General features: G+C 46.7%; 1 protein-coding gene across 23 annotated transcripts in view, besides 3 other annotated features; it reads left to right on the forward strand.

Annotated features, from left to right (window-relative positions):
* EHMT1 (euchromatic histone lysine methyltransferase 1) overlaps nt 1-15,723 on the forward strand; it is a 217,123-nt gene that overhangs the window by 255 nt on the left and 201,145 nt on the right. For 2 of the 23 annotated variants that reach the window (XM_011519022.4, XM_017015134.2), the window contains exon 1: nt 9,250-9,764. The exons of the other annotated variants lie outside the window; for them this stretch is intronic. In XM_011519022.4, the coding sequence (XP_011517324.1) occupies nt 9,738-9,764 (27 nt within the window). In that variant the 5' untranslated portion in view covers nt 9,250-9,737. Of the gene's footprint in view, nt 1-9,249; nt 9,765-15,723 lie in introns of those variants that run through there. 23 annotated transcript variants of the gene reach the window in all.
* Nucleotides 154-872: an enhancer, noted in NCBI's record as "H3K27ac hESC enhancer chr9:140513865-140514583 (GRCh37/hg19 assembly coordinates)". NCBI's record gives its function as "activates a minimal SCP1, AML or CMV promoter by ChIP-STARR-seq in primed H9 embryonic stem cells {active_cell/tissue: H9 hESC(primed)}" and the evidence as "EXISTENCE:reporter gene assay evidence [ECO:0000049][PMID:30033119]".
* Nucleotides 9,304-9,363: an enhancer, noted in NCBI's record as "active region_29356". NCBI's record gives its function as "activates an Ori minimal core promoter by ATAC-STARR-seq in GM12878 lymphoblastoid cells {active_cell/tissue: GM12878}" and the evidence as "EXISTENCE:reporter gene assay evidence [ECO:0000049][PMID:35858748]".
* Nucleotides 13,558-13,852: an enhancer, noted in NCBI's record as "tiled region #6441; HepG2 Activating non-DNase unmatched - State 23:Low, and K562 Activating non-DNase unmatched - State 7:EnhWF". NCBI's record gives its function as "activates a minimal TATA promoter and a strong SV40 promoter by Sharpr-MPRA in HepG2 and K562 cells {active_cell/tissue: HepG2 | K562}" and the evidence as "EXISTENCE:reporter gene assay evidence [ECO:0000049][PMID:27701403]".

Below are 15,723 nucleotides of genomic sequence, written 5' to 3' on the forward strand. Positions count from 1 at the left end.
GCTTTGTGCGCGGCGCGGGCCGGGCGGCGGCTGGGGGAGCGGGCGGGGGCGCAGGTGAGGGAGGCGACCGCGTACCTGTGCCCGCGCCCCCCACGGACCCCGTGCCGCCGCCGCCGCCCGCAAGCCGGATCTGCGGGGAGGGCCTCGGCCAGGGTGCCGGGGAGGTGCGGAGGACAAAAGGAAAAGTAGCGGGGCCGGCCAACTTTGGAGCGCCGGCCGAGGCGAGGCTGTCCCTCCTCTCGGAGCTCTTCCTTCGCTTCGTTGACCTTTCACTTTGTTCTGAGTAGGATGGCACCATCTTTAACGAAAAGTTGGCCAGTCCCGGCGTGTTTCTCCCCAGACAATGCTGCTCCAGCCCTGCTGGCTGTCAGAAGCAGGAAAGCACGCTCGGTGGGAAGCTTGCGGACTCAAGTTTATTTCCAAACCAGCAGCTTTAAAGGGCTCTCGATGTAAAAAGTTCACATTCTTTTGTTAATGGTCTCGGCCTTCCCCGTGCTCATTCTCAAGGATAGTTTGTTTCCTTGCTTAGGAAAGGAAGCAGCGTAGAGATTAAAGTCTTGCGAGTGGACCACTGGCGTCCCTCTGAAGGAAAAGCAAGCAGGAGGTGGTGTGTCCGTGGAGATGCAGAAATAGTGTGGTCCTAGGGCTGAGATAAGGGACCGGTTTGGAGAAAACTGTCAGCGTAGAAGTATTTCTTTGAAATTAACTGTCTAGTAACAGTTGAGACTTCTAAAGCTTAGAAAGTTAAGGTGTAGTAAGAAGCCGTACAGTATCCTGGTGCATAGACTTAACACTGTATTTTAACTCAGGTAATGTATGGCCTTTTTGTTTATTTTTTTCCTGCATTTTTGGGGGGTGTTGAAATAAGTAAACTGGGAAGGTGCAGGGGAATTCTTAAATTCAATGCAAGGAGTTTTTGCTGAGTATCTGCAGCATTCAAGGAATTAATATTAGTCACTGAGAACAAAAAGCGAAATTAGAAAATTTCAAGTCACTTCTAGGCTTGTAGGGGAGAAGACGTGTAGTGATGAATTCTATCATTTATGAAGTACCCACTGGATCCCACACACTGTGCAAGACCTTTAGATCAGGCGCCTCCCTCGGTTTTCTTCACCCTGTGCAGCAGGTGCTGTTATTTCCTTTTTTAAATTATTATTTATTATTATTATTTTTTGAGACAGGATCTCCCTTTGTCACTCAGGCTGGAATGCAGAGGCATGATCACTGCTCACTGCAGCTTCGACCACCCAGGCTCAAAGGAGTCTCCCACCTCGGGTGCTGCCACACCTGGCCAATTTTTTTGTATTTTTTTGGTAGAGACCGGGGTTTCACCATGTTGCCCAGGCTGGTCTTGAACTTTTGGACTCCAGCGATCTGCCTGCCTCCGCCTCCCTAAGTGCTAGGATTACAGACATGAGCCATTGTGCCCGTCCTGTTGTTTCCTGTTTAGCTGAGGAGGAAGGGTTAGATAACTTGGCCAGTCGGTTGTAGGACCAGCACTAGTACAGTGTTGGGCACGTAGTAGGTGTTTAATACATGACCGATGAGCAAATGGCTCCAGATGTCTCTGGTTCCATAGGCAGCCTTGAATAGGGCTTTACACACCTGATGAGAATGACAGCCTGTGTTGACTGAGCCCTGACTTGTGTCCAACCCTGCCATAGTGCCAGTGCCTTGCATGAATTCAATAATTTGAGCCTAGCAGCAACCTTAAGAGGTAGGTACTGTTACCTCCCCGTTTATAAATGAGAAGACAGGCGCAGTGAGGCCCAAGATTGAAGAGCTTGTGGCCAAGAAGATGGAGTTGCAGGTGGTTTGGCCATAGAGCTGATGCTTGCTAAATGTGTTATATCTGTGATGGTCATTTTAGGTTAATAAAAGCTCTGTTTTTAGATTGATAATTCTAAGGGTTTATCATCAAGGTGTATGAGAAGGTGAGGGAGCCCCTGTGTGTAGCGCAGCAACTCTGGCCTTCTGGACAGTAGGTAGGCATGTGATCACTGTTGTCACTAAACCTGGGAAATGATTCCTGGGTCAGGGTTCATTAATTGCCAAATGATTAAAGTAATAAAGCTGACACTGGAAACTTATCTAACTTCATTTCTTTTCCTTGATTTACAAAGATAGTCAATACATTTTCCTACCAAAAAGAACTGGCCAGCCGTGGTGGCTCATGCCTGTAATCCTAGCAGTTTAGGAAGCCGAGGTGGGCGGATCACTTGAGGTCAGGAGTTCGAGACCAGTCTGGCCAACATGGTTGAAACCCTGTCTCTACTGAAAATACAAAAATTATCTGGGCATAGTGGTGTGTGCCTGTAATTGCAGCCTGGGCAACGGAGTGAGAGACTGTCTCAGGAAAAAAAAAAGAAAAAAAACTACTGAGGTAGTTGAATATATCCTCCATTCCCCATTTGTGGATTAGTTAGTAAATGGGGCATCTTAGGGTTTAAATATGTCCAGGGTCACTGAGGATCAGATCCTAGGGTTCCTTTGACTCAAGGCTTTTGTCTCAGCAAAACGTCACCTTCCAGCAGGAAGGCTTTCTCAGGCAAGTAGCAGGGTGGCTACTATGTATCGCTTCTTTATTTTTTCTTTTTTAAAATAATGCAGGCACGTGCGCATAATTTAAAAAATCAGTGCTAAAACCCTTAAAAAAAAAAGCTGTTCTCATCTCCTGTCTTTCTTTTTTTTTTCTTTTTATTTTTTTCTTTTATTATTATTATACTTTAAGTTTTAGGGTACATGTGCACAACGTGCAGGTTTGTTACATATGTATACATGTGCCATGTTGGTGTGCTGCACCCATTAACTCGTCATTTAGCATTAGGTATATCTCCTAATGCTATCCCTCCCCCCTCCCCCCTTTTTTTTCTTTTTGAGAATGAGTCTTGATCTATTGCCCAGGCTGGAGTGCAGTGGCCCGATCTTGGCTCACTGCAGCCTCCGCCTCCCGGATTCAAGTGATTCTTGTGCCTCAGCTTTCCTGGTAGCTGGGATTACAGGCGCCTGCCACCACACCTGGCTAATTTTTGTGTTTTCAGTAGAGATGGGGGTTTCACCATGTTGGCCAGGCTTGTCTCGAACTCCTGACCTCAAGTGATCTATCTGCCTTGGCCTCCTAAAGTGCTAGGATTACAGGCGTGAGCCACCGCCCCCGGCCGATCATCTTCTGTCTTTCTAGAGAAGAAGCAGCCCACTTGCATCTCTTGAGCATTTACTTCATGTTTCTAAATATATGTTTGTATTGTCATGTCTTTATTCACCAACTTTAGGGGTCGACTATGGACTTCCATTAATGGTGAATTAGTGTAAGATTTAGATTAGAGAAGATTTTTGTTCTCTTATGTTCATCCTGCCCCAATCAGAATGTATGTTCTTGGCCAGGGCCAGCAGCTCATGCCTGGGAGGCCGAGATGAGAGGATCCCCTGAGCCCAGGAGTTTGAGACTAGCCTGGGCAACAGAGTGAGACCTTGTCTCTACTAGAAGTAAAAAAGTTAGCTGGGTGTGGTGGTGGTATGTGCCTGTAGTCCCAGCTACTTGAGGGGCTGAGGTGGGAGGATCGCTTGATCCCAGGAGGCCAAGGCTGCAGTGAGCTGTGATTGTGCCACTGCCCTGCAGCCTGGGTGACAGAGCAAAATCCTGTCTCAAAAAAAAAAAAAAAAAAATACAGCCAGGCGCGGTGTCTCACACCTGTAATCCCAGCACTTTGGGAGGCTGAGGTGGGTGGATCACGAGGTCAGGAGATCGAGACCATCCTGGCTAACACACAGTGAAACCCTGTCTCTGCTAAAAATACAAGAAAATTAGCCGGGTGTGGTGGCGGCCGCCTGTAGTCCCAGCTACTCGGGAGGCTGAGGCAGGAGAAGGGCGTGAACCCGGGAGGTGGAGCTTGTAGTGAGCCAAGATCATGCCACTGCACTCCAGCCTGGGCGACAGAGCAAGACTCCGTCTCAAAAAAAAAAAAAAGAAAAAAAAGAATGCATGTTCCCTCTGCCTGGTACACAGCATCATCCAAAGGAGTCTCCTCACCTTTCCCTGTGTCTGATGCTGCTCACTGTTTATTCCCTCCTGGTGATGGAACACACTCTCCGTTAGCTAGCCAGGAAGGTGTGGTAAGCGGTGAACTTTTGGGGTTTGCGTGTCTGAAAATGTATTTACTCTTTTTTTTTTTTGAGATGGAGGTCCGCTCCGTCGCCCAGGCTGGAGTGCAGTGGCACTATCTCTGCTAACTGCAGCCTCCGCCTCCTGGGTTCAAGCGATTCTCCTGCCTCAGCCTCCCAAGTAGCTGGGATTACAGGTGCTTGCTACCACGCCTGTGCCTGGCTAATTTTTGTATTTTTGGTAGAGACGGGGTTTCAACTTCTTGGCGAGGCTGCTCCTGAACTCCCAACCTCAGGTGACCTGCCCACTTCGGCCTCCTAAAGTGCTGGGACTACAGGAGTGAGCCTCCGCACCCGGCCGCAAATGTCTTTATTCTGCCCGTGCGCTTAGTAAGTTTGGCTGGTAGGTTGGAAAGTCATTTTGAAGTCATAGCTCCAATATCTTTCAGTTTTCATTGTTGCTCTTGAGAAGTCTGGTTTGGTCTTTTTTCTTTTTGAGACAGTCTGGAGGAGTGGTTCAATGATAGTTCTCTGCAGCCTTGACCTCCCGGGCTGAAGTAATCTTCCTGCCTCAGTGCCCTGAGTAGTACCTGGGACGGCAGGTGTGTGCCGCCATACCCGGTTGATTTTTCTTTCTTTCTTTTTTTTTTTTTTTTTGAGATGGAGTCTTACCCTGTTGCCCAGGCTGGAGTACAGTGGCGCCATCTCGGCTTACTGCAACCTCCGTCTCCTGGGCTCAAGTGGTTCTCCTGGCTCAGCCTCCTGAGTAGGTGGCATTAACAGGTGTGTACCATCACGCCCAGATAATTTTTTTGTATTTTTAGTAGAGACGGGGTTTCACCATATTGGCTAGGCTGGTCTTGAACTCCTGACCTTGTGATCTGCCCACCTCAGCCTTTCAAAGTGCTAGGATTACAGGCCAGGCATTAGGCACTATGCCCGGCCTCTTTTTTTTTTTTTTTTTTGAGACATGGTTTCACCCAGTCTGGCATCCAGTTGCCCAGGCTGGCATGCAGTGGTGTGTGATCTTGTCTTTCTGCAACCTGCCCGGTTCAGGCAATTCTCCTGCCTCAGCCTCCCGAGTAGCTGTGATTACAGGTGGGCACCACCACGCCTGGCTAATTTTTGTAATTTTAGTAGAGACAGGGTTTCGCCATATCGGCCAGGCAGGTCTCGAACTCCTGACCTCAAGTAAGTGATCCACCTTCCTCAGCCTCCCAAAGTGCTGGGATTACAGGTTTGAGCCACCATGCCTGGACTCCAGCTGATTTTTGTATTTTTAGTTGGGATGGGGTTTTACCATGTTGGCCAGGCTGGTCTCGAACTCCTGACCTCAAATGATCCATCCGCCTCAGCCTCCCAAAGTGTTGGGATTACAGGCGTGAGCCACTGTTCCCGGCAGTGATTTTTCTGTTTTTGTAGAGACAGGGCCTTGCCATGTTGCCCAGGCTGGTCTTGAACTCGGCCTCCTGAAGTTCTGGGATTAAAGGCATGATCCACCGAGCCTGGCCCAGTTTCATTCTTCTTTTTTTTTTTTTTGAGATGGAGTTTTGCTCTTTTCACCCAGGCTGGAGTGCAGTGACGCGATTGGGTTCACCGCAACCTCCACCTCCTGGGTTCAAGTGATTCTCTTGTCTCAGCCTCCCAAGTAGCTGGGATTACAGGCTCCTGCCACCCCGCCCCGCTAATTTTTGTATTTTCGGTAGAGATGGGGTTTCGCCATATTGGCTGGGCTGGTCTAAAATTCCTGACCTCAGGTGATCCACCCGCCTCAGCCTCCCAAAGTGCTTGGATTCCAGGCGTGGGCCACCTTGCTGGCAAGGCCCAATTTCATTCTTAACCGTTTGCAAGCACTATTCCCTTGCCGAACCTTTAGGATCGTTGCATCCGTGATTTTCCTAATATTTATCATGCGTTTAGTGCTAGCCTTTTGTTATGTATTATGCAGGTGCCTAAGTAGCTGTGAAATCTGAAGATTGACACCCTTTCATTATAGGAGGTTTTTTGTTGTTGTTGTTGTTGTTGGAGAGAGACAGTCTCACTATGTTGCTCAGGCTGGTCTTGAACTCCTGGGCTCAAGCAAGCCTCTTGCCTCAGCTTCCAAGTAGCTGGGACTACAGGCACGTGCTACCATGCCTGGCTAATTTTTGTATTTTTAGTAGAGATGGGGTTTTGTCATGTTGACCAGTTTGGTCTCACATTCCTGACCTCAAGTGATCTGCCCGCCTCGGCCTCCCAAAGTGCTGGGATTACCTGTGTGAGCCACCGTGTGTGGCCGACAGTTTATTCTTTACTGTTTTCTCTGTGTTCTCCTTTTCCGTTTCCTTTAGTTGAATGTTGGACTTCCTGTATTTAGTTTTCTGATTTTAAGTATATTTTCTTGTCATGTCTTGGTCTTGTTCTATTTTGGGGGAGCATTTTTGACCACTTCTCAATTTTTTTAATCGAATTTTTAACTTCAGTTGTTATTTATATATATATTTTTTGTTTTGTTTTGTTTTTGTTTTTTTTTGAGACGAAGTTTTGCTCTTGTTGCCCAGGCTGGAGTGCAGTGGGGCGATCTCGGCTCACTGCAACCTCTGCCTCCCGGGTTCAAGTGATTCTCCTGCCTCAGCCTCTCGAGTAGCTGGAATCACAGGCATGCACCACCAAGCCTGGCTAATTTTGTATTTTTTTTTTTTTTTTTAGTAGAGTTGGGGTTTCTGCATGTTGGTCAGGCTGGTCTCAAACTCCTGACCTCAGGTGATCCACCCGCCTTGGCCTCCCAAAGTGCTGAGATTACAGGCGTGAGCCACCACGCCTGGCCCAGTTGTTATATTTTTATATTCTTTACTGTTTTCTATTCTTTTTAGTATCTCCTGTTCTTGTTTTATATATATAGTATCTTTGCTTATTTATTTTAATTACAATTAAAATTTTAAAATTACAGTTAAAGTTATTAAAAAACTATTTAAAAAATGTCTCAGCCTGTGCAACACAGCAAGACCCTAAAATCTGGGACTTCCAGCATGCACCACCATGACCAGCTGGTGCGTGCCTGAAATCCCAGCTACTCAGGAGGCTGAGGCAGGAGGATTGCTTGAGTCCGGGAGGTTGAGGCTGCAGTGAGCCATGATCACACCACTGCACTCCAGCCTGGGTGACAGAGTGAGAGAGACTGTCTCTAACCAAAAAAAAAAAAAAAAAAGTTGTTTCCTTCATTTTTTGTGTTTTCCCTGCATTCGTTCCTCTTTGCTGTCTTATCTCTTAGTCTTTCTTCTATGATGTAACCTTTCCTTTAGTGTCTCATTGTCTTTGGCCATTTTGCCGTGTTGCGAATAAAGCACTCACCATGGAAAGCTGAGTGCTGGGGGCTTGTTTATTTGTTGCCTTCACTGTAGGGTGATGGTTGGCTGCTGCTGTTTTGTTGGCTCTCTTGCAGAATTTTTTTTTTTTTTTTTTTGAGACAGAGTTTTGCTCTTGTTGCCCAGGCTGGAGTGCAGTGGCGTGATCTCTGCTCACTGTAATCTCTGCATCCTAGGTTCGAGCAATTCTGCCTCAGTCCCACAGGTAGCTGGGATTACAGGCGTGCACTACCACACCTGGTTAATTTTGTTTTTGTTTTTGTTTTGTTTTGAGACGGAGTCTCGCTTTGTTGCCTAGGCTGGAGTGCAGTGGCCCCATCTCAGCTCACTGTGACCTCCATCTCCCAGGTTCAAGCGCTTCTCCTGCCTTCGCACCCCCTAGTAGCTGGGATTATAGGCGTGCGCCACCACGCTCGGCTAATTTTTGTATTTTTGGTAGAGACAGGGTTTCACCATGTTGGCCAGGCTGGTCTCAAACTGCTGACCTCAGGTGACCCACCCCCCTTGCCTCCCAAAGTGCTAGGATTGTAGGCATGAACCACCATGCCTGGCCATTTTTTTTTTTTTTTTTTTTTTGAGATGGCATCTCTTTCTGTCACCCACGCTGGAGTGCAATGGCGTGATCTTGGCTCACTGCAACCTCCACCTCCCGGGTTCAAACGATTCTCTTACCTCAGCCTCCCAAGTAGCTGGGATTACAGGTGCGCACCACCACTCCGGGATAATTTTTTTGTATATTTAGTAGAAACGGGGTTTCACCATGTTGGTCAGGCTGGTCTCAAACCCCTGATCTCAGGTGATTTGCCCACCTCAGCCTCCCAAAATGCTGGGATGACAGGCGTGAGCCGCTGCGCCCGTGATTTGCCCACCTCAGCCTCCCAAAATGCTGGGATGACAGGCGTGAGCCGCCGCGCCCGGCCCTTTTGCAGAGGTTCTGTCTGCTGGTTTGGTTTTCTTGAAGGATCCCTCAATTTCTTGCCTTGCTGGTATAAGCTGGATTTTTTTTTTTTTTTGAGACAGAGTCTTGGTCTTGTCGCCCAGGCTGGAGTGCAGTGGTGTGATCTCGGCTCACTGCAACCTCTGCCTCCTGGGTTCAAGCAATTCTCCTGCCTCATTACCCCCCCACCCCCAAGTAGCTGGGATTATAGTTGTGCACCACCACGTGTGGCTACTTTTTGTATTTTTAGTAGAGAGGGAGTTTCGCCATGTTGGCCAGGCTGGTCTTGAACTTCTGACCTCAAGTGATCCACCCTCCTGGGTCTCCCAAAATAATGGGATTACAGGTGTGAGCCACCATGCCCGGCCATTTTTGGTGGACCTTTTTATGGGGCTAAACGTCTGGTGTCTTGTGGCTACAGAAGACCAGTACTTGCTTGAGGAGGAGACCTGAGAGGTCAGCTGTTCTCAGGTGGAGTTTTGCCCGCATTCCCCTTTGTAGTTGCAGGCATCACCCCCATTGTCCCCACCCTTCTGTGTTTTCTGGGGTCAGTCTGCCAGCTGCTCAGCTGCAACTCCTTTATTTAAGTTTCTCCTTCCTCTACTCTGTGGGATAGGTTAGCTCTCCTCTACCTCTCTGTCTTCCTATTTGTGTTCTATTTAGGGATTTCACATGTCTTGGGGTTTATGTGTCTCTTTCCTGCTTTTCTTGTCTTTGATTGATTTTTGCTAAGAGAAGAGAGGATCAGAATCAATTTTTCTTTTTTTAAAATTACTTAAACATTTAATTTTTAATTACACAATATAATTTATAAAACATTTTGTAGAGATGGAGTCTCACTGTGTTGCCCAGGCCGATCTCCAACTGGGCTCAGGCGATTCTCCCGCTTTGGCCTCTGAAAGTGTTAGGATCACAGGCGTGAACTGCTGTGGCTGGCCTGAGAAGCATTTTCCATAAATCTTGAGAAGCAGATTCTTCCGTAAACTAGAAGCACAGCTGTCCTATGAAAAGGGCTGCCTGTCTTCGGATCTTACTATGTCAGTTGTTGGTTGTGGTCGGAAGGTTCTGGAGTCATAGTAAGGGCCAGCAAGGGTGATGTTTGTGCCTCAGCTCTAATGTCGAAAAGAGCGTCTGTGGCTACCTTAGTTGCTGGAGATCCCACACGTGGCCAGAGCCAGAGGTGGGGCTAGAGCCCTGGTTTCCTTCTTCTGCTTCCTGTCATGTGCTGAAAGAGCTGTGTAGGTTTGACCACATTTTATTGAGTTTTTCTTTGAAAATAATTTGGCTTATAAGAATCATGTTTTGGATTCTTTAGGAACTTTATTTTTTTTTTCAATCATTTCATTGGATTAAGCATGGTTGATGGATTACTTTATCCTAAGGTAAGTGGGCAGTTTGATTTTAAGTTGCTCACTCAGCAAACCAGGTAGGGAATAGTTATTTGCTTTTGTATTTTTTTTTTTTTTTTGAGATGGAGTTTCGCTCTCGTTGCCCAGGCTGGAGTGCAGTGGTGCAATCTTGGCTCACTGGAACCTCCGCCTCCCAGGTTCAAGCGATTCTCCAGCCTCAGCCTCCCGAGTAGCTGGGATTACAGGCGCCCACCACCATGCCTGGCTAATTTTGTATTTTTAGTAGAGATGGGATTTCTCTATGTTCGTCAGGCTGGTCTCAAACTCGTGACCTCAGGTGATCTGCCTGCCTCGGCCTCCCAAAGTGTTGGGATTACCGGCGTGAGCCACCACACCTGGCCAGTTTTTTTGTTGTTGTTGTTAAATGGAGTCTCGCTCTGTTGCCCAGGCTGGAGTGCAGTGGCGTGATCTCGGCTCACTGCAAGCTCCGCCTCCTGGGTTCTCGCCATTCTTCTGCCTCAGTCTCCCAAGTAGCTGGGACTACAGGCGCCCACCACCATGCCTAGCTAATTTTTTGTATTTTTAGTAGAGACAGGGTTTCACTGTGTTAGCCAGGATGGTCTCGCTCTCCTGACCTCGTGATCTGCCCGCCTCTGCCTCCCAAAGTGCTGAGGTTACAGGCATGAGCCATCGCACCTGGTCCAGTTTTTTGTATTTTTAGTAGAAACGGGGTTTCACCATGTTAGCCAGGCTGGTCTCGAACTCCTGACCTCAGGTGATCCGCCCACCTCGGCCTCCCAAAGTGCTGGGATTATAGGCATGAGCCACCGCACCCGGCTGAGAATAGTTATTAGAGCCCAGTTAATTTGGCCTATGGCAGGTATGATATAGAAAGCATTACTTCCAGGACTGAGAATTCTCCTTTCTTACTGTTTTGCTTCTCTTTAACTTTTAATATTTTCATGTATTAAAAAAAAATCTGATGATTTTGGATTTTGAAAAACAAAGCTAAAGTGGCTGCTATAACTCTTCAGAGGTAGCATTTCCTTTGAAATGGAGTCTCTTGGATAAGAGGCCACTTTCCCAGGAACATCACTGTGAGCTGCTGTTTCATTCTGGAAAAGCTTGTGGATTTCTTTCTGTATTCTAGTTGTAATAGGCTGGTTCTGATCACAGTATATTTAAGATGCTGTTTTGAGCACTTTCTGTTTATGCAGTGCAATTCTAGGTATTTGTAAGAGGACATACAAAGTTTTGAGATTGATCCCTGATGTTACAAAATTTAATAATAGAACAGAGCAAATATTACTGAGTAGGAAATGAGAGTCAGTTAAAAGTAAACAAGAAGAGGCTGCTGGATGGCCACAATTGCTGCGGCCACATGTGTGGGGAAAAGTTCCTTGAGGAAGATGAGTTAGTCTAGGTCTTTTTTTTCCTTTAACAGCTTCTTGTCCAACACATAGTCTAGGTCTTAAAGGATGTGAGACATGAATTGGCATGAGAAGGTGGACAAAGTGTACATTAACAAAAATTAGGCATTTTAGCAAATTTAGAAATCAAACCTAGAAACCTCAGGATGCCATATATTTGTCATCTGTTTTTTTCCTGATCCTCGTGAGTGTATGTGTTTTTATTTAAAATTGGTGGTAATCAGTGATTATGTGCCGTTGTACTTCCTCTGTCCCGTATTGTCTGACGTGCATTCGTATCTTCAGTGTTTTTGGTAGCTGCATGGTGTGTGACATAGAAAAGTCCCAGTTTCCTCGACTGTGATTTGGGTGAGGTCTGTATCCTTTGGTGCACAGTGGAATTACAAGGTCAGAAGGGGATAGTGGCATGAGATGAAGCTGGAGAGGCAGGGCAAGGTTATCCAGGGCCTTGTTACCATGGTAACAAGTTGGGAAGTTTCATAACCACTGTAGACAGTCCTTGAAGATTTTAGGCATGGAATGATACTTTAAAAAGATGACCCTGGCTGCTGTGTGGAGAGCGGAAGTAGGGGGCCAGTGAGCAGGCTTGGCTTGAGTGGTATGGGTTAGTCATGATATAGGTGTTTAGATTTAATTTTTTGAGCATATAGGACAGTTACATGGTTCAAAATTGAAAAAGTATGGCCGTGTGTGGTGGCTTATGCCTGTAATCCCACCACTTTGGGAGGCCGAGGCGGGTGGATTGATCACCTGACGTCAGAAGTTCAAGAGCAGCCTGGCCAACATTGGTGGAACCCTGTCTCTAATAAAAATATAAAAAAATTAGCCGGGCGTGATGGCGGGCGCCTGTAATCCCAGCTACTCGGGAGGCTGAGGCAGGAGAATCGCTTGAACCCGGGAGGTGGAGGTTGCAGTGACCTGAGATCGTGCCATTGGACTCCAGCCTGGGTAACAAGAGTGAACCTCTGTCTTGGAAAAAAAATAAAAATAAAAATAAAATAAAATTGAAAAAGTACCTCCCTAGCCACTAGTTCTTCTCTTGGCAGGTCACCAGTATTTAATTACTGTGCATATTTCATGATGTTTATGAATATACAGTCATGTGGCACTTAAGGACATTTTGGTCCGTGGCAGACCACATACATGAAGGTGGTCCCCTAAGATTAGAATGAAGGTCAGGCGTGGTGGCTCACACCTGTAATCCCAGCACTTTGAGAGGCTGAGGCAGGAGGATCACTTGAGCCCAGGAGTTCAAGATCAGCCTGGACAACATAATGAGACCCTGTCTCTACAAAAAATAATGAAAAATTAGTTGGGCATTGTGGTGTGTGCCTGTAGACCCAGCTACTCCGGGAGGCTGAGGTGGGGAGAGTTGTTTGACCAGGAGGTCAAGGCTGCAGTGAACCGTGTTGGTGCCACTGCACTTCAGTCTGGGCAGCAGAGTGAGACCCTGTCTCAAAAAAAGAAAAAAAAGATTATAATAGAGGCTAGAAATTCTTACTGCCTAATCACGTCGTGGGCATTGCTTTGTAGTAGGGTAGTGCACTGCCTTTTCTGTGTTCAGACGCACATGTGTCATTGTGTTGCACTTACCTGCAGTAACGCGCTGTGCAGGTTTATAGCCTGGAAGCCATGGGCTACACCACACAGCCTAGATGTGTAATAGGTTTGCAGAAGTGCACTCTTTGACGTTTGCACAGTGATGAAATCACCTGATGACGCATATCTCCGAATGTATCCCCCTCATTCAGCGTCACTTAGATGCAGTAGATGTTACTGTCCTGTCGAGGGGTTCGATGACTTTACCATGTAGCTGGTATATGTTAGAGCTGGCTCTGCCCTGGGCTAGGATGGTGCAGTAGAATGGTGTTCGTTCCAGGGTTGGGGGAGGGTTGGGAAGGAATCACAGAAGGCACTTGAAAGGTGCAGGTGGGAGTAAGTCAACCTTTCAGCCCCAGTTCCCCTTGAAAATGCAGAGGCGAATGCATGAAGACGTAGTCTGAGTTGTGCTCTTTTTTTTGTTTTTGTTTTTGAGATGGGGTTTCACTGTGTTGCCCAGGTTGGTCTTAAACTCCTGGGCTCGAGCAGTCCTCCCGCCTCAGCCTCCCGAGTAGCTGGGATTACAGATGCGTGCCACCACACCTAGGTAATTTTTGTATTTTTGGTAGAGACAGGGTTTCACAATGTTACCCAGGCTGGTCTCGAGCTCTTGGACTCAAGCCATCTGCCTGCCTTGGCCTCCTACGGTGCTGGGATTACAGGCGTGAGCCACTGTGCCCAGCCTAGACCACTTTTTAGGGATTACAGGCGTGAGCCACTGTGCCCGGCCTAGACCACTTCTTCAAGCATTTAATGACTGTTCCTTTGATCATATTCCTGGGTATAGCATCACACGGGGCAGGTTGCTAACCTAGGTGGGCTGATGGAGCTGTGGAGACCATGCTAATGATTCTCGTCCTTGCAATAAGGGCAGTAGGAGGGTTTCAAGGCAGGGAGTGACCTCATCAGGTTTGCGTGTTAGGCTCTGGCTTCCTTCCTGGTCTTCCTGCTGCTGTGTGAAGAACGGATTGTAGACGGATGGCAGTGGAGGCAGCAAACGCAGTCCTCAGGGAGTGGGTGGTCACCGGTTATGTGGCAGATGAGGAGGGCACAAGGATGACTTGTGGGACTAGGCCGGAGCCAAATGCTGGGTTCTCTGCTTGAACGGAAGGGTGGGTGGCCGTGCCATTCACCCGGACAGGGAAGGCATGCTCAGGTCAGCTCTGGGGTGGTTTATTCCAGGGGTGGCAAACTCTTTCTGAGCAGGCTGGATAGTATTTCAGACTCATGCACCAAGAAGCAAAATCAAGGATAACTCCACAAATTTTTGTTGACAAAGATCAAAATATAATTGACTACTTTTTTTTTTTTTGTAATACAGATCTACTGATTAGAAGAACAGAATTTTTGGGGGGATAACATTTTGCTTAATTGGGGTTCAATGTTAATGTTCCCCATCATAAAAATTACTGGAGCTGTTCATCTGTTAAGTGCTTACTGTGACACAGTTTTCTGTTTCATCTTTGAAAATGTCTTCACACCGATAGCTGTTGCCATATTCCAGTATCAGTCCAGGAGCAGATGATTTATTTTTATTGAGATGTAATTCATTTACTATAAAATTCACATTTTAAAATGTGCACCTCAGTGGGGTTCTTTGGTATGTCTGGAGTGGTCCAACCATTACCACTACTTCCAGATCATTCCGTCATTACCACTACTTCCAGATCATTCCGTCACCCCAAAAAGAAACCTCATACCCATTAGCAGGACTTCCCTAATCCTCCCTCCCCGACCCCCGACACTGCTCTACTTTTTTGCAAATATTTTTTCTCATTCTGTGGGCTGTCTTTTCACTTTCTAATTTTTTTTTTTTTTTTTGAGACAGTCTCGCTCTTGTCGCCTAGGCTGGAGTGCAATCTAGTCTCACTGCAACCTCCGCCTCCCGGGTTCAAGCGATTCCCCTGCCTCAGCCTCCTGAGAAGCTGGGATTACAGGTGCGCACCAGCACGCCGGCTTATTTTTGTATTTTTAGTAGAGTCAGGGTTTCACCATGTTGTTCAGGCTGGTCTTGAACTCCTGACTTCAAGTGATCCACCTGCCTCGGCCTCTCAAAGTGCTGGGATTATAGGCATGAGCCACTGTGCCCGGCCTAATTTTTATTTTCTTGATGCCTTCCTTTGAAGCACAGATGTTTTTAATTTTTGATGAAATCCACCTTCTTGTTTTCCAGTTGGTTTCTTTGCTTTTGTTGTCGTGTCTGATTGCCCAATCCAAACCAGGGAGTTTATGTTTCCTTGGAAAATTTGCATAGTTTTAGCTCTTACATTTAAGTCTTTGATCCGTTTTGACTTAATTTTTGTATATGATGTTAGGTAGGATCCAGGCTTCATTCTTTTCATGTACAGTTGGCTCAGCAGCGTTTGTTGAAAAGACCATGCTTTCCCCATTGAATTGCCTGGCCATCGTTTTTGAAAATCAGTTGAACATAAATGTGATGGTTAATTTCTGGGTTCTCAGTTCTATTCCGTTGATGTATATGTCTGTCCTAATGCGAGCATTGTTGCAGCAGTGTAATAAGTTTTGTAATGAGGAAATGTGAGTCCTTCAACTTTGTCTTTTTCATGATTGGGTCCCTTGCATTTTCTTTCATTTCTTTTCTTTTCTTTTCTTTTCTTTTTTTTCAAGATTGGGTCCCTTGCTTGCTTGCTTGCTTGCTTTTTCTTTCTTTTCTTTCTTTCTTCTTTCTTTTTTTTTTTTTTTGACAGAGTCTCTCTCTATCGCCCAGGCTGGAGTGCCGTGGTGCGATCTCAGCTCACTGCAACCTCTGCCTTCCAGGTTCACGCCATTCTCCTGCCTCAGCTTCCCGAGTAGCTGGGACTACAGGCGCCCCCACCATGCCCAGCTAATTTTTTTTTTTTTTTTTTTTTTTTTGTATTTTTAGTAGAGATGGGGTTTCACCATATTAGCCAGGATGGTCTCGATCTCCTGACCTCGTGATCCGCCGGCCTCGGCCTCCCAAA

Source organism: Homo sapiens, chromosome 9, assembly GCF_000001405.40.
Source record: "Homo sapiens chromosome 9, GRCh38.p14 Primary Assembly".
In the NCBI taxonomy this organism is placed as follows: Eukaryota; Metazoa; Chordata; class Mammalia; order Primates; family Hominidae; genus Homo; species Homo sapiens.